This window comes from Homo sapiens, chromosome 12, assembly GCF_000001405.40.
Source record: "Homo sapiens chromosome 12, GRCh38.p14 Primary Assembly".
Classification (NCBI taxonomy): Eukaryota; Metazoa; Chordata; class Mammalia; order Primates; family Hominidae; genus Homo; species Homo sapiens.
Window position 1 is genome coordinate 53,506,517 of NC_000012.12, and position 24,095 is coordinate 53,530,611.

At 46.1% G+C, this 24,095-nt stretch overlaps 3 protein-coding genes and 1 long non-coding RNA gene across 13 annotated transcripts in view, besides 4 other annotated features; 1 reads left to right on the forward strand and 3 right to left on the reverse strand.

Annotated features, from left to right (window-relative positions):
* Nucleotides 1-171: 171 nt before the first annotated feature.
* Nucleotides 172-968, reverse strand: NPFF (neuropeptide FF-amide peptide precursor). Of its 2 annotated transcripts, NM_003717.4 has the most exons (3): nt 857-968; nt 505-626; nt 172-377 (listed from the first exon to the last, which is right to left on the reverse strand). In NM_003717.4, the coding sequence occupies exons 1-3, from the start codon at nt 956-958 to the stop codon at nt 260-262; spliced, it is 342 nt and encodes a 113-aa protein (NP_003708.1). In that variant the 5' UTR covers nt 959-968; the 3' UTR covers nt 172-259. The 2 variants fall into 2 exon arrangements, with proteins under 2 accessions (NP_003708.1, NP_001307225.1); NM_001320296.2 differs by having other exon boundaries at nt 505-968.
* The window catches only part of ATF7-NPFF (ATF7-NPFF readthrough), a 119,695-nt gene continuing 95,771 nt past the window's right edge, over nt 172-24,095 (reverse strand). Inside the window, exons 10-15 of one of the 3 annotated variants that reach the window (NR_159377.1) lie at nt 18,048-18,245; nt 16,760-16,868; nt 10,499-10,838; nt 1,318-1,511; nt 505-626; nt 172-377 (exon numbers count right to left, since the gene is read on the reverse strand). Coding sequence is in view for 2 of the 3 variants with exons in the window: in NM_001366559.1 (NP_001353488.1) it covers nt 342-377; nt 505-626; nt 16,760-16,868; nt 18,048-18,245 (465 nt within the window). In the remaining variant the exon portion in view is untranslated. The remainder of the gene's footprint in view (nt 378-504; nt 627-1,317; nt 1,512-10,498; nt 10,839-16,759; nt 16,869-18,047; nt 18,246-24,095) is intronic. The other 2 variants (NM_001366560.1, NM_001366559.1) reach the window with 2 other exon arrangements.
* The window catches only part of ATF7 (activating transcription factor 7), a 118,527-nt gene continuing 95,771 nt past the window's right edge, over nt 1,340-24,095 (reverse strand). For 6 of the 7 annotated variants that reach the window (NM_001366561.2, NM_001130060.2, NM_006856.3 and 3 more), the window contains 3 exons: nt 18,048-18,245; nt 16,760-16,868; nt 5,538-10,838 (listed from right to left, as the gene is read on the reverse strand). In NM_001366561.2, coding sequence (NP_001353490.1) covers nt 10,621-10,838; nt 16,760-16,868; nt 18,048-18,245 — 525 coding nt within the window. In that variant the 3' untranslated portion in view covers nt 5,538-10,620. Of the gene's footprint in view, nt 1,512-5,537; nt 10,839-16,759; nt 16,869-18,047; nt 18,246-24,095 lie in introns of those variants that run through there. The other variant, NR_073163.2, reaches the window with a different exon arrangement.
* Nucleotides 2,089-2,383: an enhancer, noted in NCBI's record as "tiled region #3466; HepG2 Activating DNase matched - State 12:CtcfO, and K562 Activating DNase unmatched - State 8:EnhW". NCBI's record gives its function as "activates a minimal TATA promoter and a strong SV40 promoter by Sharpr-MPRA in HepG2 and K562 cells {active_cell/tissue: HepG2 | K562}" and the evidence as "EXISTENCE:reporter gene assay evidence [ECO:0000049][PMID:27701403]".
* Nucleotides 2,521-2,753: a silencer, noted in NCBI's record as "fragment chr12:53902821-53903053 (GRCh37/hg19 assembly coordinates)". NCBI's record gives its function as "represses an EF-1alpha promoter that drives an FKBP-Casp9 reporter gene in an ReSE screen in HepG2 liver carcinoma cells {active_cell/tissue: HepG2}" and the evidence as "EXISTENCE:reporter gene assay evidence [ECO:0000049][PMID:32094911]".
* Nucleotides 7,468-11,092, forward strand: ATF7-AS1 (ATF7 antisense RNA 1). The gene is made up of 3 exons (NR_046221.1): nt 7,468-7,535; nt 7,837-7,965; nt 8,993-11,092. It is a non-coding gene; the product is annotated as an ATF7 antisense RNA 1 (long non-coding RNA).
* Nucleotides 9,365-9,606: a silencer, noted in NCBI's record as "fragment chr12:53909665-53909906 (GRCh37/hg19 assembly coordinates)". NCBI's record gives its function as "represses an EF-1alpha promoter that drives an FKBP-Casp9 reporter gene in an ReSE screen in K562 erythroleukemia cells {active_cell/tissue: K562}" and the evidence as "EXISTENCE:reporter gene assay evidence [ECO:0000049][PMID:32094911]".
* Nucleotides 10,573-11,072: an enhancer, noted in NCBI's record as "H3K27ac hESC enhancer chr12:53910873-53911372 (GRCh37/hg19 assembly coordinates)". NCBI's record gives its function as "activates a minimal SCP1, AML or CMV promoter by ChIP-STARR-seq in primed H9 embryonic stem cells {active_cell/tissue: H9 hESC(primed)}" and the evidence as "EXISTENCE:reporter gene assay evidence [ECO:0000049][PMID:30033119]".

Here is a 24,095-nt window from a genome sequence, read left to right on the forward strand (position 1 = left end):
CCAGCCATTCTCCTGTTTTCCTTTCTGGTGGGAGGAGGCTGGGCACAGTGGCCTCGTGGAATGTTGTCGGCTGCCTTGCTGGAGGGCTGGGTTTGGTGGAGGGGAAGGGCAGTGGTTCTTGCCCTTGGGCTTCCACCCAGCCCTGTAAAGTCTCACACAGACACACATGGATTCAGAAGCCAGACAATTTTATTTGGGGGGCAAACATTGACACTTTTGGGTGTGGACCTTGCATGCAGACATATCAAGGGATGACATGTCACTTCTTCCCAAAGCGTTGAGGGGCAGCCAGGCTCCAGAACTGGGAATTCAGCCCCTCTCCAGCCCGGGGACTCAGCCATTCATTCCTCCAGGATCCCTGGGTATTTCTGCCAAACCTTAGGAAAGATTTGTCCTCAGGTCCCCGCAGTCTCCCTTCTCTAGCCCCCTTCCTTCTCCTCTTCCTCTGCCTCCTGCCCTTTCCACCCCCAGCCCCTGCCATGCTTGTGTCCCTTTCAGACTCACCTCTGGGGCTGAAACAGGAAGGCTTGGCTCCGGCCAGGTCTCTCCATTGCCTGGAGCAGGTAGTGCAACAGTGACCCAGAGGTCTGGGCATCCTGTGGTGGGAGGGGTTCGCTGTCTTCCTCCTGTGCCAAGGGGGTATCAGGGAAGGAAGATGGGCAAATACCCTGGACACGTAAGTCACAAGGGGAAGGGACTGGCTTCCAGGGGCAAGTGGTAGGAGGCTGCGGAACCATTTCCTCAGATGTGAGGACCTAATGACAACCTTGGCAGCCAGAGAAAGTATCAGAACCTAGAGCACAAGTCTCAACCGAAGTAGAGGCAATGGTGATATGGGGATGGGACACACACTCACCGCGGAGAGCTGGTCTTCCTGCTGGCCTCCTGGCCCTTCAGCACAGCCCCCGTCTATTAACAGCAGCAGCACCAGCAGTGCAGCAGCCTGCCTAGAATCCATGCTGCCACCTACCCTCCTACAGCCACCCCAACCTCTTATACCTGCTGTTCCCCCACCCCCAGCCTCACAGTAGCCTTAGGGGAATCTAGAGCAGGCAAATGGAAATGCAGGGCTCATTAGGAGCCACCTGGGATCTCCTCCCATGGCGCCCCCAGGACTTCATGCTCTCAGCCTCCTGCCCCCGGCCCCTAAGCCTGGAGTTACAGACTTTATTAGATGCATAAATCCTGTCTCCAGAGCTCAAGAAGCATCATTAGTTGCAGACGCTTTGTCAGAGCCAGGCCCTGGGGAGCCTTAGACGAACCCCTAATCCCTCAACAGGTTGGAGAGCTTGTTTATCACTTCCCCTCTTTCCTAACCTGTAGACTAAAGCACAAGAAACTCATGTCAGGAGGGGTTAAGTAGGATGTCCTGGAGTGGAAGAGGAGTGGGAAGAGCCAGGGTCAGAGTCTGTGAGGATGACCAGGCCTGGTCCTCTGTGCCTGGGGCTGGCAGTCAGGGCAACACAGCCCATCCTCTGCTTGTGTGCCTCTTGGAGGCTACTCAGATTTGCCTGTGGATAGAAAAAATATATTCAACTTCATGATGATGGAGAGAATTTAACTTTTTTTCTTTTTGAGATGGAGTTTCGCTCTTTTTGCCCAGGCTGGAGTGCAGTGGCGCGATCTCGGCTCACTGCAACCTCTGGCTCCTGGGTTCAAGTGATTCTCCTGCCTCAGCCTCCCAAGTAGCTGGGACTACAGGCGTCAACCACCATGCCCAGCCTGTATCTTTTTTTTTTTTAATTAAAAACCATTTTTTTTTTGGCCGGGTGCAGTGCCTCACACCTGTAACCCCAGCACTTTGGGAGACCAAGGCGGGTGGATCACCTGAGGGCAGGAGTTCGAGACCAGCCTGGCCAACATGGTGAAACCCTGTCTACTAAAAATACGAAAATTAGCTGGGCGTGGTGGTAGGCACCTGTAATCCCAGCTACTCAGGAGGCTGAGGCAGGAGAATCGCTTGAATCGGGGAGGCAGAGGTTGCAGTGAGCTGAGATGGCACCACTACACTCCAGCCTTGGCAAAAAGAGAAACTCTGTCTCAAAAAAAAAAAATTATTAAGATATAGAGGGAGGCTACAGGATTTTGGAGCCCACTGAATGAGTGTGGCTTCCAATCTTTGCAGACAGACCCCCATCCTCACTAGAGAGCACTGCTTCCGACCTGCCTCATCGCCCTTCCTATAGTCACTCTCCACAGCTGAAGCACTGCTGCCACCCTGTGGTCACAGCTCCTCATTGCCAGCTCCGGCCATTTCCTTTTCCTAGAATAGACCTCTGCAGAGGAAGTGAGGAGGGTGAGGCTGAGTGGAGGTGCTAGGGTCCAGTCTCCAGGGAGTCCCAGAAGGACAGGAGCAGGCTACTGTGGGGCTGGACTATCATTCTGACCCCGACTCTGGTCTCCACAGCCTCTGCCTGGCCCTGGCTCTCATATAGAGTAGCCTAGAATCCTGTCTTAAGAAAAATCAGAATCACTAATCCTCAGGGAGAGGCCTTCAAAGCCATATGGTGCAGGTTCCTTCTAATCCTCGAGTCCCTTTTGGAGCATCCCCACCAGTGTGGGTCTCTAGCTTGTGCTGAGGAAGAGCCATGACGTAAAGGCCTTGGCCTCTGCTTGAGCAAGCTGTCTCCCGCTCTGAGCTTCAGTTTCCTCACCTGAAACATGGGCCCATTTTACAAGGAACGCCTTCCTAGGGTGTGCATTACTTAACATACTTTTTGTAATCCATTCAATAAAACAGCTTGCATAGAACAGGTATCCTCAAAACGTTAGCTGTGATTGCCTCATGTGCCCCAGTCGGGGAACTTACCATCTCCTCAGACAGTCTTCGGACATATTTATCCTTGTGCCGAGGGGGCTTTGGGCTTCCTGTGACTTCTACTCGGGGTCTTAGTTTGCTCCATTAAGTCTCAACAGAACATCTCATCTCTTTCATGTGTAAAAGCTCTTCATATTTTTGAAGAGAGAGTTCATTCTTACACTCCAGCTTTTTTTTTTTTTTTTTTACGATGGAGTCTGGCTCTGTCACCCAGGCTGGAGTGCAGTGGTGCGATCTCGGCTCACCGCAACCCCTCTGCCTCCCGGGTTCAGGCGATTCTCCTGCCTCAGCCTCCCAAGTAGCTGGGATTACAGGCACACACCACTATGCCCGGCTAATTTTTGTATTTTTAGTAGAGATGGGGTTTCACCATGTTGGCCAGGCTGGTCTTGAACTCCTGACCTCAAGCAATCCACCCACCTTGGCATCCCAAAGTGTTGGGATTACAGGCGTGAGCCACCGCACCTGGCCCACTCCATAGTCTTTTTTGCTCAAGGGGAAGCACCCCACTCTTTAAGGCAAGGCATCTAGGAACCAACTTATCCTTTAGACACGTAGATTAGAGCAGGTTTGGATCTGGATGCTCCAGATACCATATTTCTGTTAATGCGGACTAAGCCAGGGTAAACCTTTTCGTAAGCTTTGTCTCATGGTTGGTCCCAACCACAAAACCTGACATTCATCATCATGGTATCTTGTAGTTTTATCTTTTTTTTTTTTTTGAGACGGAGTTTTGCTCTTGTTGCCCAGGCTGGAGTGCAATGGCTTGATCTCGGCTCACCACAACATCTGCCTCCCAGGTTCAAGTGATTCTCCTGCCTCAACCTCCCGAGTAGCTGGGATTACAGGCATGCACCACCGCGCCTGGCTAGTTTTGTATTTTTAGTAGAGATGGGGTTTCTCCATGTTGGTCAGGCTGGTCTTGAACTCCCGACCTCAGGTGATCCGCCCGCCTGGGACTCCCAAAGTTTTGGGATTACAGGCATGAGCCATTGCACCCGGCCAGTTTACCACTTCTTAAAAGGGAGTATCAAGGCCACGGGGAGATGGCTTTTCTGTGGGCAGTAGCTGCTGCATCCCAGAATGATCCTTGTCTGCTCCTGTGTGACAGAGGTCCAGAGGAGCAGCGGTGTGAGGGTGGATGGGACACTGCAGAGCTGGTTCTGGGCCAGACAGAACTCAGTTGTAATCCTAGCTCTTGCACTTCACTGTGTGACTTGGCTAAACCTCAATTTATCATCAATAAAATGAAGTGACTACTCCTGTTATCACTAGGTGAACAGTAAAGCAATCTACCATTCCACGTAGCATAGGGCAGCCATTCCATGTTTACCATCCTGCTGCTTCTAGTATTTCTCTAAACATCAATTACAAGTGGCTCTGGGCTGAGCTGCATTCAGAAAGAGGCTGGTTTAGCTGGCTTCCTGTGTCCAGGATGGAGGTAACTGGTCTCCTTTGAAGTTGGAATGGGTTGATTCCTCTAATTTTGTAAACTGCCCAGTTTTCAGAGTGCAGCTTCAGTGGTGGGAACCTCCAAAACCTCATAATCTGGGCTTTGGTATTTGGCTTTCAGCAATTTCCTTTCTTACCCTTCTCTGGACACCCATGTGCTCCTGGCCACAACACAGTGAAGACCACCACTGCCTTTCCTGCTCTCCTCAGGAGGCACAGGCTATTTGTGTCAAGTGTCTACCAAACACCAGCCACAGATAGCTTCTTAAGTCATTTCTCTCCTACTGGGAAACTCCAGAGACACCTGCTATCTCTTTTGTCAAATTCTTCAGCCTGGCTCATTGTTCTCATTTGTGATGTTATTTATAAAGGAATATACAGATGCAATAAATTATCTGTGATTTCCCTACACCTCTTCCTGATTCCCACAGTCTCTGAGCATTACCTGTTTTTCTTGTGAACTCTTACCTGCTTTTTTTGAGATGGAGTTTCACTCTTGTTGCCCAGGCTGGAGTGCAACGGCACGATCTTAGCTTACTGCAACCTCTGCCTCCCAGGTTCAAGTGATTCTCCTGCCTCAGCCTCCTGAGTAGCTGGGATTACAGGCGCCCGCCACCAACACCTGGCTAATTTTTGTATTTTTAGTAGAGACGGGGTTTCTCCATGTTGGCCAGGCTGGTCTCAAACTCCTGACCTCAGGTGATCAACCCGCCTCAGCCTCCCAAAGTGCTGGGATTACAGGCATGAGCCACCATGCCCGGTTTTCTTACCTGCTTCTAAGTAAACTCTACCCCTCATTTCCAGACCAGCCTCCTCCTTACCATAGAAAGCTATACTTTCCGTCTTTGTCTGTGTGTGTGCTCCCTGGTCACAACAGCCACTTTTTAATGGTTGGGTGGGGGTTGGCAACAAAACACTGAAAAGTAAAAGGCCATTTGCCATCAGCAACTCTCCCACCCGCCATCCACATAAAGCACATACTAAGTTTCCTGTGAGTACTTGCTGCCAGGATGCCAAGGGCCCTTGTCTCCAAGGCAGTCCACAGGAGCTCTGCCCTGGGCCTTCTGTCATACTTTGTAATTTATAGAAATCATCCACTTTCTCTAGGCTGTATCTCCCATGTATAAAAACTAGAGACAAAAATCCCTGTTCCTTCTGTCCTAAGAAATGGGGGAGTGATGAAGATGACAGACATGAAAGGCCAGTGACCTCCCAGAAAAGGGGACAATGGGGGCTGTGGATAGAGGAGTGAAGCATCAGACATAACAGTGGTTCACTTGATAGTTTAATGTTATATTTGCAGCATAAATAAGGCACAATATATGCCAGGGCAAGGGAGGGAGGGAGAAGGCATAGCTGGGGGGATAACTGCTAAGTGGCAAGGGGGAAAGGAAGACAGTATGGTTAGGGAGAATAGAGCGAAGCCCCTGCCTCAGCCCAGTCCCAGGAGATTGTGAGAACCAGCTCACAGGGATCATGCTGAATCAGGTGGAGGGGAAAAGGGAAAAGACAGTTTTGTAACAAAAAACAAAATAGCCTGCAGCACTGCATCCTCCTACCTGTCAAAGGCCACCACTGGGCACTGGGGAGACCCAGACCGAGTTGAGTTCCTTGATAAGATGGAGAGGTGTTGCTACATGTCAAAAATATATAGATGAACAGAGATATAATCATAGATACACACTGCTTCCTTTTCAATAGATACTATGTTAGGATGTGGCAGCCTCCACTCTTGGGGCTGGAAGCTCATCTCCTCCCTGCCTGAAAGGTGTGTGTGTTGTAGGGGGAGGAATGGGACAGCTGAAGCTTGGCTGGTCCTTACTGTAACAGAGAACATGGAGTGACCAGTCTGCAAGGGAATATGGGACAACTCCTGTCCAGACCAATGCATGGTTTTAGGGATACGACTAAAATGAAGACAAATCTAGCTTTTGAGATCAGTGATATGATGGGGAAGACTTTAAAGGGAATGGAGGAAGAGACTGAAAGAAATGAAAGCATGTTAGTGCAAAGGCAAAAGATGTATTTGAAATATCCTCCACACCTGTAAAAATTTCCCAGCTTATCCCTAAGAAATGGTTCTCAACCTTTAGTGTGCATTAGAATCACTTGGAGTGCTTTTAAACCCTGCCCCCAGAGTCTGTGATTCAATAAGTCTGGGATGGGGCCTGAGAATGTGTATTTCTAACAAGTTCCCAGATTACTGTGGCACTGCCCTAAGGTAAAGTCAGTGAAACTATTGCTCATAGCCACTTCTTACAGCTAAAACATCACTCACCAGTAGCTACTGCTGGTGAGATAACTCTGTGCTATTAGCCCCCCATTAAAAAAATAAACCCTAGTAGCTATGATACAAACCTACATCTACAGAGGACATAAGCTCCTTTAACCTGCCCTACTCTCCCCAGCCTTTTCTCATTCTGGGGTAGGACTTTACCCCAAAGAGAGACAACACAGCTGATGCAGACGGTGGTAATGGTGGCCAGCAGCCACCTACGCTCATTCCTGCTAGGTAACCACCTTGGTATGGGGTGGGGGAATTTATGTCTGTATGCACATTTGTGTGTACAAACAGACACAGAGAAATCAGTCCTGTACTATGAGAGGGATGACTAGAGTTATGGGAGGCTGTAGTGGGGTGGAGGGAGTCCTTTAATCTGCCTTAGGATCCCCACCTTTCCTGTTCTTCCAGACACCCCCACCCCCGTCAAACATTAAGTCTAAAGAAAGCAGAAAGAGCATATCAACAAGGCATATGTGATATAGCTAGGAAGACTGGAATCTAAACAGGCTGGTTATGAAATTTAAAAAAAATAATGTATTTCCTTCCTGTGTATATAATGTACAATATTAATGAAAAATTAATGATTTGGGGATGGGAAGGAAGTTATGAAAAAAGGAGAAAACTGGCGGGGATAGCTGTATCAGGGGCTAGCACCTTTAAGGAGCCTCTCAGTGTGGAGCAGGGGAGCCCCAGAAACCACAGGAAGAATTTTTTTGGTGTCTGTTTGGTGGTTCAGGCTGTACATAGGGCACGGTTGGGGTTAAGCACTCCATCTACCAGGATGGGTGGTGCTAGAGGGCAGTGAATCAAGAAAGGAGCCAAAACCAACAGAACAGGGATAGAGAAGTGAGCGAGAGGAGGTTCAGTTTGCTCAGTCCCTCTTTAACCACTACTTAGAGTACATGGTCTAATGCTTAGGGCCAAGGAGGGAGGTGAAGGCTAAGGAAGTCAGATTTGAGATGCATAACCAGCAGCAAAAGAGTAAGTAAAGGGGGCATGACTTTTTTTTTGTTGGCCTCTCTAGTATTGTGGGAGGCTTTCTTAGACTTTTCAACTCTAAGCAAACTTTCTGTTAGGGGAATGGGGCAGAAAGTGAGCAGACCAGAAGACCTGGTTCTGTCCCCTCCCTCTGTGGCCTTGGGTACGTGGCAGCTAGCTAGAGTGCTTGTGTATCGAGCACTCACATTGGAGTGGGGTGGGAAGCCTGAGTCCTGTATTCACATGAACGAATTCAGGACACCCACCATACACTCAGCTCCTTTCTGAAAGTGTCCTCCCTTAGGCCTCTAGAAACGCCATGGACTTTAGGAAGGGCCAAGTGACACCTTCCATGATGTTTGGTTCTGGTCCAGATGGATCTGGAAGACAAAGATTTGGGGAGAGTGACCACATGGCTGGTAGCAATAACAAGGTAAGTGAAGTTACCTTTGACTATCAGAGAAGTTTCAGGGCAGCAATTATTCTGCCTCCTTAGTGAGACTGAGAACCAACTCAAGAACTATCTAGGGGGTTCTGACCTGCTGCTTCCTTATTTCAGTGCCATTTTGTTACTGTGGTTCTGGCAGTGCTCCTCACTGAGGTCCCGTACACATCTTCCCACTGATAAAAATGAAGTTAGGACTAGATAATTAGTCATGGGGGCTAAGAAATAAAAAAGACCCGCTACATAAATTAGCCACCCAACACAGGGACAGACTGGCAGGGCATGTATGCAGTTACAAATTAATTCTTAACTGTAAAAACACTTGACTGAAGGGGGAAGAAAAATAGTCAAGAGTCTTAGGAAAGCTCCTTAGGAGCCATAAACTCAGTCAAGCTTTAGGGCAAGGCTGCTACTGGGAAATCAAGACAATAAAAAAATGAAACAAAACTCTAAAGCAGGAGAAAATCCCAGGGAGCAGCCAGCTAAAGGGGAAGTCCTGAGCACAAGTTACGGCTGTGAATTTTTAAAGGCAAAAGTGAAGTCCCTGGATGTGGTAACCTGCGTCCTGACCATCTGCCATAACATTTGCTAGTCTGAATCACTTCAGGGCCTATTCCTGTTGGGTACCTGATGGTAGAGGATGAGAAAACCGTGTTTTCTCTCCTTTGTCTTTAGGGGTGTGGCCTGTTCAGCACCAGCTCTGAAAAGCAGGAGGGGAAATTTAAAACAAATGCAGCAGAACCTGTTACCTGACTGGTTCACTAGGACAGGATATCACTTTAAGGAAACGGGAATCTTGTAGCTTAGAACATTTTCTCATTCCCCTGTGACAGTCAATTTTGGAGACAAAATAAGAAAGGAAGCTGGCAGTTATTTTGTATGTATGTTTAAGATGGAGGTAGGAAAGATGGAGAGAAGGACATTCTTGGCTTGCACAGATGGCAGAAAGTGGCTCTGGGACAACTGGAAGGGTTTCATACGGAAAGGCAATTAAAGCTGACCTATCTATCCACAGGCCTCTGGCTCTGAATTGCTTCCTATGGTCCTGGTAGAAACTGCATAGTTCAGAGCCAAGGGGAGATGAGAAGCCTTAACGTGGAAGAGGGACAAGAGAGATGAATTGCTCCCTCTGCAACCCAACTCTTCAAAGTAAGAATGGTTGAGAGCAATAGTCACCAATTTCCCAGGCCAGAACCTGGGGTCCTTTGCTGGGACCAGTTCTGCACTTTCCCTCTCCTCTTCCTCCCTCCTTTCAATCTTATACTCAAGTAAACCCACTCAGCATCTTGGCTATGACGCTTCAAGATCCTGGAGCACTGCATGTAAAGAGAAGAGAGAAGAAATGGGTTGAAGAAACTCTGGAGGACCTGGAAGACCTAGTGGCTAAGCTAGGAACCTGGTGAAAGAGAAAGAAGATAGTCCAGACGGTGATGGGCACTTGTGAACAGAAGACTCTAGCTCAGAAAAGCAGACAGATGTGTGAGGGGGAGAGATGGGGTAGAACAAAGGAACTCGAGAGTCCCCTACATGACAGCCTCCAGGAGGGCTGAGTCTGAAGTAGTTACAGAAGAGAGACAGGGGCGGTAATGTTGATAGGGGAATGAAGAGAGAGAAGCAGGAGCAGAAAAATGACCAAAGATGACAATATGCTTTGGCCGGTAAACTCTTATAAAACATAAAGGAATCGATTAATCCCTAACTTGATGGAACAAGCTTTGAAATACTTTGTTCCTGTCTGCCCTGATGGTTAAACTAAAGAAGGAGGGAGGGGAGGAGACAGAATCAGCCAGTCAGATTCTGGGCCCTTCCCTTTTCACTACCAAGCAATCTTTAATAATAAGGCCACAAAATGAGGTTGCCAAGGCTTAGTGGGGTGGTGGGAAAGACCCCACCACTACACTAAAGTCAAGGGACAAAATGAGGTACCCAAATAGCTCTGCAAATAGATGAAAAAGAATTAGAACTCTTGAGGGTTTCTTTCTTTTTGGTGGCAGGTAGAGAGAAGGAATAAAGCTTATGGAAAAACTGGAAAATACTGCTACTTCATACATCAAAGGTAACCTTACATTCTCCGTAAGTGAATGTTTTAACTAGAATTAAGGAAGAGGAAAAAGGAAACGGGTAAATAAGCAGCTATGGGAGACCTGAGTCCTGAGTCCATGGGGTGGCTGGGGCTGGGTCAGCGGGTAATATGTCATCAAATCTAGCCTCCCTCTATCTGGCAGGAAGTGGCATGCTGGTAAGGAACAAAAAGGTAACAGCCACGGCTTAGTGGGAAGAGAGGGAACTGAGAAACCCCAAACCTAGAAGTGCCAAGGGTTAGTGTTAAAAGAGACAGATACACGTGCATGGGGCAGGGGTGATTGTTCGGACCATCTGGAAAGGCCTTTGGCTGTGGATGCATCAGAAACCCCACCCTGGGGGATGATCTATGAGGCTCCGGGGCTGGGAGGCCCCCAGCACAGGTGTCAAACGTACATGACCACATGGCTAAAAAGCCCCATATCTGTCCATTACTCACAACACACAATTCCCCCCACCCATATTGCCATGTCCAAGGCAGATGGGAGGGGATAAGATGACATCTCTCTTGGCTCTTGGGCGGGCGAGCTCTGGCTGAGGACCTCTCCACCAGAGGAGGCATCATCTGCCCGCAGACTGGGACTGTGGGGTCATGATTACATGCGATTGTATCGGCATGCTCAGTTCTGTCCTTTGGCTGGCCATCTGAGTGAGGACCGAGGTGGCCACAGCTTCAGCTGCAGAGCGAACACTGAGGCCATTGCTAGGGGCTGTTGCTGAGCTGTGCTGAATCACAGGGGCTGGAGAACCCGTTGGCTCTGAGCTTTCCTTGGGGCTTTCTGCCAGGAAGGAGGGCAAAGAGCAGAGAGCAATTGGTTAGAAAACAGAATGGGGAAAGAGGCAGGACTACCTTTTGCCATAATTCTAAAGGAGCCCAAAAGGGAAATGAAACCCATCTTTTTTTTGGGGAAAACTTCCCAGAATCCTGGCTTCTAAGTCATAAATGGGCTAGGAAATGGGAAGTTGTAAGAAGGGAAGAACTAGGCCAAAATTAACCTATCTATTCCAATAAAATGAATCTCCAACATGTTAATTACACTGTCTGGTTTCTAGGTCTTTGCATAGTTCATTACCAACTCTTATTATTATTCATTACTTCTATTCTTTCTTGTTTTTAAGAGATAGGGTCTCAAGTGATCCTCCTGCCTTGGCCTCTCAAAGTGCTGGGATTATAGGCATGAGCCACTGCGCCTGGCCTTCATTTCTTTAAAGATGATTTAAAATAGATCTCTTTTTAGCCATCCTCTTTGATTAATTCTCACAGGAACTGAATTATTCCATTATTTTATTTATTTATTTTTTTTCCTAAGACTGAGTCTTGCTCTGTTGCCCAGGCTGGAGTGCAGTGGTGCAATCTCAGCTCATTGCAACCTCTGCCATCCAGGTTCAAGTGATTCTCGTGCCTCAGCCTTCCGAGTAGCTGGGACTACAGGTGCACACTGCCACACCTGGCTAATTTTTGAATTTTTAGTAGAGATGGGGTTTTGCCACGTTAGCTAGGCTGGTCTCAAACTCCTGACCTCAAGTGATTGGCCTGCCTTGGCCTCCCAAAGTGCTGGGATTATAGGCGTGAGCCACTGTGGCAGGCCTATTCCATTATTTTTAATGTTCCTTTACCATGTAGTTGTACCACAGGTAAGTCTGATAGATATCAAGCTATAATTAAATGATATTATGAATGGCCAGTCCCTGGCCCGGGTTCAGTTAACATGTAAAACTACAAAGAAATCTTAAGACCCTCCTGACTAAAAATTAGCTAGGCATTAATGATTATAAAACATTATAAGTTATGCCACTCCACCTAAAGTGACACTAACATTTTACTACTAAACACAACTACCTGAGCTACATACAATGGTAACTCCATGTTGCTCATTAGTCAAATGTTTTTAAAATTTTTTTAGAGGGTCTCACTCTGTCACCCAGGCTGGAGGTGCCATGGCACAATCACAGCTCACAGCAGCCTTCAACTGCTGGCCTCAAGCCATCCTCCTGCTTCAGACTCCCAAATTGCCGGGATTACAGGTATGAGTCATCACACTCAGCAAGTCAAGGAGTTTTATTAAACATCGGATAGCCTCTATGGCTGCTTAAACAGAAATATGTGGAAAAAAGGCAAACGTTCCATAGTCAGTTGTATTTCTGACATCCTGATGAATGCCTGAGTCTTCTTTTAAGATTCAAATATGGCCGGGCGCAGTGGCTCACGCCTGTAATCCCAGCACTTTCAGAGGCCAAGCTGGGCGGATCAGGAGGTCAGGAGATCGAGACTACCCTGGCTAACATGGTGAAACCCCGTCTCTACTCAAAAAAAAAAAAAACCAAAAAATTAGCTGGGCATGGTGGCGGGCGCCTGTTGTCCCAGCTACTTGGGAGACTGAGGCAGGAGAATGGTGTGAACCCGGGAGGCAGAGCTTGCAGTGAGCCGAGATTGTGCCACTGCACTCCAGCCTGGGCAACAGAGCGAGACTCCGTCTCAAAAAAAAAAAAAAAAAGATTCAAATATTGCGTCCTCTGTGAAGCCATCTTTGTTACCCTCAGTACATTAACTGTTTTATTCTTTGTGTTTTCACAGCATATATTCATCAAACATTTTACTGAGCATCATCCATGTACCAGGCATGGGTACACAGAGAAGAAAACGGGAACCCTATCCTTAGGAAGCTCCCAGTTTAGGGGCTTTTTAACTGGGATATCTATCCTTACCTCATCCACAGGTTTATATGACCCTATGATTCTCTCAGAGGTAGTGACAGTGTCTTATTCATCATGTGTCAGGTACTTACATAATATCTATACCACACAGCAGGAACTAAATACATCTTTGCTATAATGAATATGTAAGGCCGGGTGCGGTGGCTCACACCTGTAATCCTAGCACTTTGGGAGACAGAGGTGGGCAGATCACATGAAGCCAAGAATTGGAGACTAGCCTGGGGAACATGGTGAAACCCCGTCTCTACTAAAAATACAAAAATGAGCTGGGCGTGGTGGTGCCCGCCTGTAGTCCCAGCTACTCGGGAGGCTGAGGCAGGAGAAAAAAAAAGAATAAGTAGTTTAATGGATTAACTATGTATCAGAGTTCTTGCAGGGACTAAGTGGAAAACTGACCGTATATAGATTATATACTGATAAACAGTCCTTATCCTCTTTAGCCCATCAACAGGATTTGTTTTTTTGGTATTTTTTTAGACAGAGTCTTGCTCTATCACCCAGGCTGGAGTGCAGTGGCACTATTTTGGCTCACTGCAATCTCTGCCTCCTGGGTTCAAGCGATTCTCCTGCCTCAGCTTCCCAACTAGGTGGGACTACAGATGCACGCCACCATGCCTGGCTGATTTTTTTTATTTTTAGTAGAGATGGGGTTTCACCGTGTTAGCCAGGATGGTCTCGATCTCCTGACCTCGTGATCCGCCCGCCTCAGCCTCCCAAAGTGCTGGGATTACAGGCGTGAGCCACCGAGCAACAGGATTTAAAATCACTGAACTTCTTGAAACACTTTTTTATTTTGATTTACAGAATACCACATTTGGCTCTGTAGCTGGTTTTCCTCCTCACTTCCTGGTTGTTTCTTCTCAGTCTCTTGTGGGTTCTTTCTCATTTCTATGAACTGTAAATGTTGGAGTACCCCATGGTTCATTCCTGGGACTTCTCTTTTTCTAGCTCTGCTGTCTCCCTTGGGAACTTCATCTGGTTTCAATGCTTTAAAAACTAACTATGGCCAGGTGTGGTGACTCACACATGTAATTCCAGCACTTTGGGAGGCCAAGGCGGGCAGATCCCTTAAGTCCTGGAGTCTGAGACCAGCCTGGCCAATATGGCAAAACATCATCTCTAAAATAACAAAAAAAAATTAGCTGGGCATGGTGGTGCACGCCTGTGGTCCCAGTTACTCAGGCTGAGTGGGGAGGATCACTTGAGAGCCTGGGAGACAGAGGTGGACCCTGCCTCCAAAAAATCCCAAACCAAACAAAACCAAAACTAGCTATATGCTGCCGACTCCCAGAGTTTTATCTTCAGCCTTTCCTCTGAATTACAAATCCATATAACCAACTGACTGCTTGACATCTCCACCTGTAAGCCTAATAGGCTCCTTAAACTCAGTTTGTCCAAAACTGAGTTCCTGATATACCTCCCAAACCATTTCCCCTACACTTTACCCTATCTCAATTAATGACAACTTCATTCTTGTGGTTGCTTAAGCCAGAAACTTTGGTGTAATTTTTTATTCTTTTTCTCATATATACCATCCCATCTGCTCTCATCACTTTAACTTCAAAACATATCCTGGATTCAGCCTGCTCTCGTCACTTTCACTACCGTCATCCCTTGCTTGTATTACCGTAACAGCCCCTAAGTGGACTGCCTGCTTCTGCCCTTGTACCCCTGATGTCCTGTTCAAATGTAAGTCAGATCAATTTTTTTTTTTTTTTTGAGACGGAATTTCCCTCTTGTTGCCCAGGCTGGAGCGCAATGGCACCATCTCAGCTCACTGCAACCTCCGCTTCCCAGGTTCAAGTGATTCTCCTGCCTCAGGCTCCCAAGTAGCTGGGATTACAGGCGCATGCCACCACGCCCAGCTAATTTTTTGTATTTTTAGTAGAAGCAGTTTCACCATGTTAGCCAGGCTGGTCTCGAACTCTCGACCTCAGGTGATACGCCTGCCTTGGCCTCCCAAAGTGCTGGGATTACAGGCATGCGCCCAGCCTAGTCAGATCAATTATATCACTTTTCTGCTGAAAACCCTCTAATGGCCCCCAGTGTGGAGTAAAAGCTGAGATCCTCACCATGACTGATGAGACCCTACATAAAATGCTGCTATTACGTCCCCTACTTGTCTCCAACTACTCTCCACCCCCAACTCCAGCTGAGCCTCCTTGATGTTCCTAGATGTACCAGGTACCTTGCGACTTTGCATCTTTGCAGTTGCTGATCCTCCTCCCTATAGTACTTTTCTTCCATATAAATGCATATAGCTCCCTCACTTCCTTCAGGTCTTTATTCAAAAGCCACCTAATCTAAAATTTCTATCCTGCTGCTAACATTTCATATTACCCTTCCCTGTTTTATTTTTCTTCTAACATTTACTGTTATCTAACATGTCATATATTTTACCTATTTATCTTGTTTATTGTCTGTCTCACCCACTAAAATATAAGCTCCTCAAGGGCAGGGATTTAATCTAATTTATTTGGTTCCCTATTATATCCCCAGCATGAAAAACAGTGACTGGCACAGAATAGACATTCCATCAATATCTGCTTAATGAATGAATGCACCCTGAAGTACATATTAAAATTAAAATTTAAGTAGAGATGTTTAAAATTGGTGATATAGTTACTCCTTTTCTATGGGAACACATCTCTGAAATAATACAGTGGAAAAATAATACAATATATCAAAGTTTGAGAGCAATAGTTCTATGAATTTAATTTGTAAAAAGAAAACTAGCATTTATTAGCTTTTATTGACCATAGGCAAATTATTCACAGTAATTTTAACTTCAGAATTGCACATGTCCTGAGCACAACTCTGTGGCCATTGCCTTCTAGCAGTATTTTATGTGCACTCATAGATTACAAACTGAAACCAACGTCAGCCTATCATTAGATAAAATGTACCCTATATCCCAATGTATCATCTGTGGTTTATGTGTTTTCTAGGCCAAGACAGTATCTTTGGAATAAGAAATACCTAGATGTGCTGGGCGCGGTAGCTCATGCCTGTAATCCCAGCACTTTGGGAGGCTGAGGCAGGTGGATCACCTGAGGTCAAGAGTTTGAGACCAGCCTGACCAATATGATGAAACCCTGTTTCCACTAAAAACACAAAAATTAGCCAGGCATGGTGGCTGGTGCTTGTAGTCCCAGCTACTCCGGAGGCTGAGACAGGAGAATTGTTTGAACCTGGGAGGCAGAGGTGGCAGTAAGCCGAGATCGTGCCATTGCACTCCAGTCTGGGTGACACAGCAAGACTCTGTCTCAAAAACAAAAAAAAAACAACATAGATGTGCCGGGCGCGGTGGCTCACACCTGTAATCCCAGCACTTTGGGAGGCTGAGGAGGGTGGATCACGAGGTCAGGAGATTGAGACCATCCTGGCTAACTTGGTGAAACCCCGTCTTTACTGAAAACACAAAACATTAGCTGGGCATGGTGGTGGGCGCCTGTAGTACCAGCTACTCGGGAGGCTGAGGCAGGAGAATGGCGTGAACCTGGGAGGCAGAGCTTGAAGTGGGCCAAGATCGTGCCACTGCACTCCAGCCTGGGCGACAGAGCAAGACTCCGTCTCAAACAAAACAAAACAAAACATAGATGTAAATCTTGGCTTCACCACTTTCCCAGCTTGGTAACTTTGGCTAAATGACCTAATCTGAGTGCAGAGTGCAGTTTTCTCACATATAAATGTAGATAATATCCATTTCATGAGAGACTTGGGAAGACTGTAGCATGCCTAACACAAAATATGCACCCGGTAAATATTGCTACCCTTCAACCCCCAACTATAACAGATAATTAGCTCTATATCGTCTACAAAAACATTTTTTTTCTAGGTCTGGTTGCTCCACAAGGGCCACTCACTCATCAGCGTGGGGTCCCCAGAACATTCAGAATGGAGTTATAAAATTATAAGCAGTTGAGACACTCAGTACATGCAGTTTACTGACTGACTGACTTAGCTTAGGTTGTGTGCCACTCACCTAAATAGCCTTGAGTCTTTTTCTGTAGTGCAGTGACTGGGCAGTCTTTATGAGCTAACAGTAGCTGTTTCAACTGGGCCACCTCATTGCGTAGTAATGTGACTTCATTCTGAGGAGGGAGGGAAGAAAAGAGTATCAAGAAAATTCATCCTCTACTCTTGCACCCTCAGTGGCTGTTCCCAAAGGAAGGACAGAATATTGCCTCGATTTTCTCCCCTGAATTGGGACAAGACTCCTGATCCAGCAAGGCTTCACAGAGCCCAGGGCCAGTATAGTCATGAATTCAATGACAGGAGTTGCTTACAGTGAAAAGTCAGGATTTATAATAGAAACATTACTCCTGTTTAAGATAAATATGATTCTACTGAAATTAGTAATACACATGCTCTTTGACTAAGAAAGCCTACTTCTAGGAATCTACATAACAGAACTGTTTACTCAGGTGCATGCAATGTTCATTGCAACATTGTTCTAGCAAAAAATTAGAGCAGTATCAATATCCATACCTTATAACATCACTACACTACAGAATATACTACTATACAGCTATTAAAAAGAATGAGGTAGATCTCCCATATCCATGGCTAGATCTCCAGGAAACACTGTTAACCTGCTTATGTTAAAACAAGCACACAACCCCTCCAGCCCTACACAAGAACTATAAATAAAAAATATTTAGGAATATGAATCTGTCTGGAAGGTACATACTGAATGTATCTACAGGAAAGAGAACGGGACTAGAAAAGGCAGATTAAAGAGGGACTTTGTTTCTATTCTGTACATTTGTGTGTATATTTTATAATAGAAATGTATTTATATATTGCTTTTTAAATTTAATATTTTAATAATCAGAAGGAAAAATAACATTCAAGAGAAGGTATGGATTATAGATTATAATTATTCTATTTGTGCTTGTAGCACTTTTTTCTTTCTCTCTTTTATTAAGCTGCATTATCTAGGGCAAACACATTTCCCTTTTGGTTTTCATGACCCCAGTCAGATTCTACAGATGATTTAAAAGAGCACCCTGGGGTGCTTAATCTAATTCCTTCATCCAAATGCGTTTAAGGATGACTCTAATAGGAGATTTGGGGGTAGATGGTGAGTGTCTTCACCAATACCTATGAAAGAGATTTCAACTCTGACCGTTAAGAGATTCTTCATGGGACAACTAGATCTGTCCTAATTAGAGAATTACCATCTTCTATCAAATTGTACCACTTTTTTCTGATTCCATCCCACTTTCTGGATTTTCAACAATTCCAATAAGCATCCAGGACCCACTCACACTCAGCTGAATGTTCTGAGAAGTGAGTTCTTCGGCCTTCTTCTCTAGGGAGGACACCCACAGCTTTCGCTTTTGGCGGCAGCGGGAGGCTGCAGCCCGGTTGCGCTCCAGAAAGCGCTGCCGTCGCTCATCTGGATCTTCATCTACTGTGCGCCGCCGTCGCCCCCCAGTACTAGGGGTGGGCTGAGCTGGTGAGACCTGGTGCCCAGGAAGGAAGAGAGGTTACTTGATGGGAACATTAATCCTTTCCAAATCACACCTGATGTTAGGTAGAGTAGTAAGATCTGGTAAAAGGATATACCAGCCTCTGGTAACCACAGCAAGTCTCATTACTATGTCCCCAAGCTTCCCTTTTGTAGGAGTCCTCAATTTTGCCTCCTATTTCCTTCCAGTCTTCTCAGTCTCATACTTAGACAAACTACAGTTCATTTGGAAACTCTGATTATTTATAAGACAGACAGACAAATGAAACCACGGTTACTTTTTGTTTCTTAACAATACGGAATCTTGACCGGCACAGTGGCTCGCGCCTGTAATCCCAGCACTTTGGGAGGCCGAGGCGGGCAGATCACCTGAGGTCAGGAATTCAAGACCAGCCTGGCTAACATGGTGAAACCTCATCTCTACTAAAAATACAAAATTAGCCGGGTATGGTGGCGTATGCCTGTAATCCCAGCTACTTGGGAGGCTGAGGCAGGAGAATTGCTTGAGTCCAGGAGGCGGAGGTTGCAGTGAGCTGAGATCATGCCATTGCACTCCAGCCTGGGCAACAAGAGCGAAACTCCGTCTCACAAAACAAAACAAAACAAAAAGGGAATCTTATAGGCAGGGAAATCAGAATTGGGGGAGGATTTTAGGGGAACTTTTAGGGAGACTGTGAAATAAAAAAGTTTGAGAATCACTGATTTGGACAAGTGATATGTACAAACAATTACATACTATTACAGGTTTCAGAAATGGAGACAAATGTTCTTATCCATTTCACTGACAGTGACATATGAGTTATTATGGGGAGATATAGATAAGTGTATTATTTTTATTTATAATCAGTTATTAATCATACTGAAGAACCCCCTTTTGTTTATAAACAAAAAATGTTTAATCCCTTTACAAATTGGTGATATAGGACTGTCTTGTTTTTAAAGTTCAAGCTGAAGTTCCTTGTCACTAAAGCATTTTTGGATCATCCCTTTCTGTTAGTTGGGATGCACTTGGAGAAGAAAGACCAATTTTATAATAGAAGCCAAAAATTTCTTAAAATGTAGAAAGGTCAACCATCTGTAGAAAAAAGTTCAGCCTTGAACACAGGCTTGAGCTGCAAAGGTCCACTTACATGCAGATTTAAAAAAATAAGTTATACCGACCAGCTGGGCATGGTGGCTCATGCCTGTAATCCCAGCACTTTGGGAGGCTGAGGCAGGCGGATCACTTGAGATCGGGAGTTTGATATCAGCCTGACCAACATGGAGAAACCCCATCTCTACTAAAAATATAAAGTTAGCCAGGCATGGTGGCGCATGCCTGTAATCCCAGCTACTTGGGAGGCTGAGGCAGGAGAATTGCTTGAACCTGAGGTAGAGGGTGCAGTGAGCTGAGATTGAGCCACTGCACTCCAGCCTGGATAACAAGAGTGAAACTCGGTCTCAAAAAAAAAAAAAAAAAAGTTATACCAAGTGTACCTGCTTCTCCGGCCCCCCTTCCAACTTCTCCACCTCTTCTGCTTCTGCTACCCCTGAGACAGCAAGACCAAGCCCTCCTCCTCCTCCTCCTCCTCCTCAATGCGAAGATGATGAGGAGGATGAAGACTTTTATGATACTCCACTTCTATTTTAATGAATAGTAAATATATTGTCTCTTCCTTATGATTTTCTTAATATTTTCTTTTCTCTAGCATCCTTTATTGTAGGAATACAGTAGATAATACATATAACATACAAAATGTGTGTTAAAACAACTCTATGTTATTAGGATGGCTTCTGGTCATCCTAATACTTTGGGATGGCTTCTGGTAATATTAGGATGGCTTCTGGTAATCCCAATACTTTGGGAGGCCGAGGCAGGTGGATCACCTGAGGTCAGGAGTTCGAGACCAGCCTGGCCAACATGGCAAAACCCCGTCTCTACTAAAAATACAAAAATTAGCCAGGTGTGGTGGCAGGCGCCTGTAATCCCAGCTACTTGGGAGGCTGAGATAGAAGAATTGCTTGAACCTGGCAGGGGGAGGTTGCAGTGAGCTGAGATTGCACCACTCTACTCCAGCCTGGGCGACAGAGCAACACTCGGTCTCTAAAAAAGTAAAAAATAAAAAAGTTGGGCCGGGCGCCGTGGCTCACGCCTGTAATCCCAGCACTTTGGGAGGCCAAGGCGGGTGGATCACCTGAGGTCAGAAGTTCAAGACCAGCCTGGCCAACATGGTGAAACCCCGTCTCTACTAAAAATACAAAAATTAGCTGGGCATGGTGGCGCATGCCTGTAATTCCAGCTACTCGGGAGGCTGAGGCAGGAGAATCGGTTGAACCTGGGAGGTGGAGGTTGCAGTGAGCCGAGATTGCGCCACTGCACTCCAGCCTGGGCAACAGAGCGAGACCCTGTCTCAAAAAAATAAAATAAAATAAAAAAATTAAAAAGTTACATGTGAGGCCAGGCGCAGTGGCTTATGCCTGTAATCCCAGCACTTTGGGAGGCCGAGGTTGGGAGGATCACTGGAGCCCAGGAGTTAGAGACCAGTCTGGGCAACATAGTGAGATCCGTTTCTACAAATAAATAAAATTAGCTGGGCATGGTGATGCATTCCTGTCATTCCAGCTTCTTAGGAGGCTCTAGTGGGAGGATCATTTGAGCCCAGAAGGTTGAGGCTGCAAGTGAGCCATGACTGTCCCATTGCACTCCAGCCTGGGCAACAGAGCAAGAACCTGACTCAAAAACAAATAAAAAAAAGATGCTGGGCATGGTGGTTCATGCCTGTAATCCCAACACTTTGGGAGGCCGAGGCAGGTGGTCACTTGAGGCCATGAGTTCAAGACTAGCCTGGCCAACATGGTGAAATCCCACCTCTACTAAAAATATAAAAATCAGCTGGGCGTGGTGGTGCACACCTGTAATCCTGGCTACTTGGGAGGTGGAGGCATGGCTTAGACCAGGATGGAGGTTGCAGTGAGCCAAGATCACACCACTGCACTCCAGCCAGAGTGACAGAGTGAGACTCTGACAAAAAAAAAAGAATCTTGTACTCTACTCTAGGCCCTACTGAATTATATTCTCCATTAATATAGATAATTAAGAAATGATTTTTTTTTGAGATGGAGTCTTGCTGTGTCACCCAGGCTGGAGTGCAGTGGTGCAATCTTGGCTCACTGTAACCTCCACCTCCCAGGTTCAAGCAATTCTCCTGCCTCAGTCTCCTGAGTAGCTGGGACTACAGGCGCCTGCCACCATGCCTGGCTAATTTTTTATATTTTTAGTAGAGACAGGGTTTCACCGTGTTAGCCAGGATGGTCTTGATCTCCTAACCTTGGGATCCACCCGCCTCAGCCTCCCAAAGTGCTGGGATTACAGATGTGAGCCACCCTGCCCGGCCAAGAAATAATTTTTTAAAATTCAGACTAATATTATCTCTCCCAAAATAAAAAAATGGAGAAGAAATTTCCAACTCAATTTAATGAACTAGAGGCCTTGGTTCACTGTTTCTCATTGTATAAGAAATTTACAGTAATTCTCCTGAGAATTTCGGCTTCCTCTTTATCTTTAGCTGACTGGAGCACATGTAAAGATTAGTCCTTTATGGCCAGGTGCAGTAGTTCATGCCTGTAATCCCAGCACTTTGGGAGGCCAAGGCGGGTGGATTGCCGGACCTCAGGAGTTTGAGACCAGCCTGGGCAACACGGTGAAACCCCGTCTCTACTAAAATACAAAAAATTGGCTGGGTGTGGTGGCTCACGCCTGTAATCCCAGCACTTTGGGAGGCTGAGGCGAGTGGATCACCTGAGGTCAGGAGTTCGAGACCAGCCTGGCCAACATGGTGAAACCCCGTCTCTACTGAAAATACAAAAATTAGCTGGGCATGATAGTGGTTGCCTGTAATCCCAGCTACTCAGGAGGCTGAGGCAGGAAAATCGCTTGAACCAGGGAGGCGGAGGTTGCAGTGAGCCGAGATCGTGCCACTGCACTCTAGCCTGGGTGACAGAGCGAGACTCCATCTTAAAAAAAAAAGAAAAGAAAAGAAAACAAAAGAAAAGAAAAAATTAGTTCTTTAGGAGAATAGGGGAAAGGAAAGGTTCCTATTCTGTCATAGGCATTTCAGTAAGTCATGCAGGGAATGGAGGTGAAAGACTAGGCCAAGAGAAACGGGAAGAACGACAAGGAAAGGAATCAGTGTTGATTAAAAAGGAAGCTGGGGCTGGGCATGGTGGCTAGGGCCTATAATCGCAGCACTTTGGGAGGCTGAGGCGGGAGGACTGCTTGAGTCCAGGAGTATGAGACTAGCCTGGGCAACATGGCGAGTCTCCATCTCTTTTAAAATTATATATATATAAAAAGAGGAAGCTGGACATGCTTTACCATGTTCAGGACTGGCTTCAGGTACAGTAACTCATGACCAGCCTGGGCAACATAGTGAGACCCTGTCTCTAATATTATTTATTTAGTTATTTATTTAAGACGGAGTTTCACTCTTGTTGCCCAGGCTGGAGTGCAATGGTGCGATCTCGGCTCACCGCAACCTCCGCCTCCCGGGTTCAAGCGATTCTCATGCCTCGGCCTCCTGAGTAGCTGGGATTACAGGCGTGCGCCACCACGCCTGGCTAATTTTTGTATTTTTTTTAGTAGAGATGGGGTTTCACCATGTTGGTCAGTCTGGTCTCGAACTCCTGACCTTGTGATCCGCCCACCTCGGCCTCCCAAAGTGCTGGGATTACAGGCGTGAGCCACCACGCCTGGCTAATTTTTTTTGTATTTTTAGTAGAGACGGGTTTCACCATATTGGTCAGGCTGGTCTCGAACTCTTGACCTGCCTTGGCCTCCCAAAGTGCTGGGACTACAGCTGTGAGCTACCGCACCCGGCCCTCTACTATTATTTATAATATATATATATATACACACACACATATATATATACACACATATATATAAATACATATATATATACACATACACACACACACACACACACACACATATATATATGTTTTTTTTTTTTTGAGATGGAGTCTCGCTCTGTAGCCCAGGCTGGAGTGCAGTGGCACGATCTCGGCTCACTGCAGCCTCCACCTCCCAGGCTCAAGCAATTCTTCTGCCTCGGCCTCTTGAATAGCTGGGATTACAGGCGTGCGCCACCACGCCTGGCTAATCTTTGTATTTTTTTTAGTAGAGATGGGGTTTCACCATGTTGGTCAGTCTGGTCTCGAACTCCTGACCTTGTGATCCGCCCACCTCGGCCTCCCAAAGTGCTGGGATTACAGGTGTGAGCCACTGAACCTGGCCTATTTATAATACAAATTTTAAAAATAAACAAATAAAACTAAAAAGGAAGCTATGTCATTTCCCCAAGAGAGAAGGCAGCACAACTCAGGCAAGGCGGCTACTGCTTTGCCATCTTCAGGACTGGCTTCAGTGGGGTTACAGGAGGGTAGGCAGCCTTAGCTTCCAACAGGAAAACTCAAATGAAAGCTTTTGTTGTTGGCCAAGCTTTACCGTAGCATATGGCCATGAAATGTTTGGACATGTGGCAATAACTGATGAAGCAGGTGGTGACATCAGGAAAAGAGGGGCCAGGCAAAGGGTATAATTCTAGAAACTAATCTCAGGTGCTGTCACCTGTTCAGTGCAGATGATATGAAAACTGAGGACTATACAGTTTCCAAAGAATCTTGTTAAAACTGAGATCTCCTTGAGAAGAGAAATGGGTAACTAAATGGGACCCCTCTGCCTTTTTTAGGATTTTAGTTTCTTTGTGATAAAAAGGGATTTAATTGGTAATGAGGTGTTTTTTGGTGTCTTATTTTTTTATATTTTTTTATTTTTATTTATTTATTTATTTTTGTTGTTGTTGTT

Coding starts and splice junctions, on each gene's coding strand:
- NPFF (NM_001320296.2), bottom strand. CDS start 737: ATGGTTCCGCAGCCTCCTACCACTTGCCCCTGGAAGCCAGTCCCTTCC. Junction 378..504: donor TTCCTGTTTCAGCCCCAGAG/GTGAGTCTGAAA, acceptor ATCTTTCCTAAG/GTTTGGCAGAAATACCCAGG.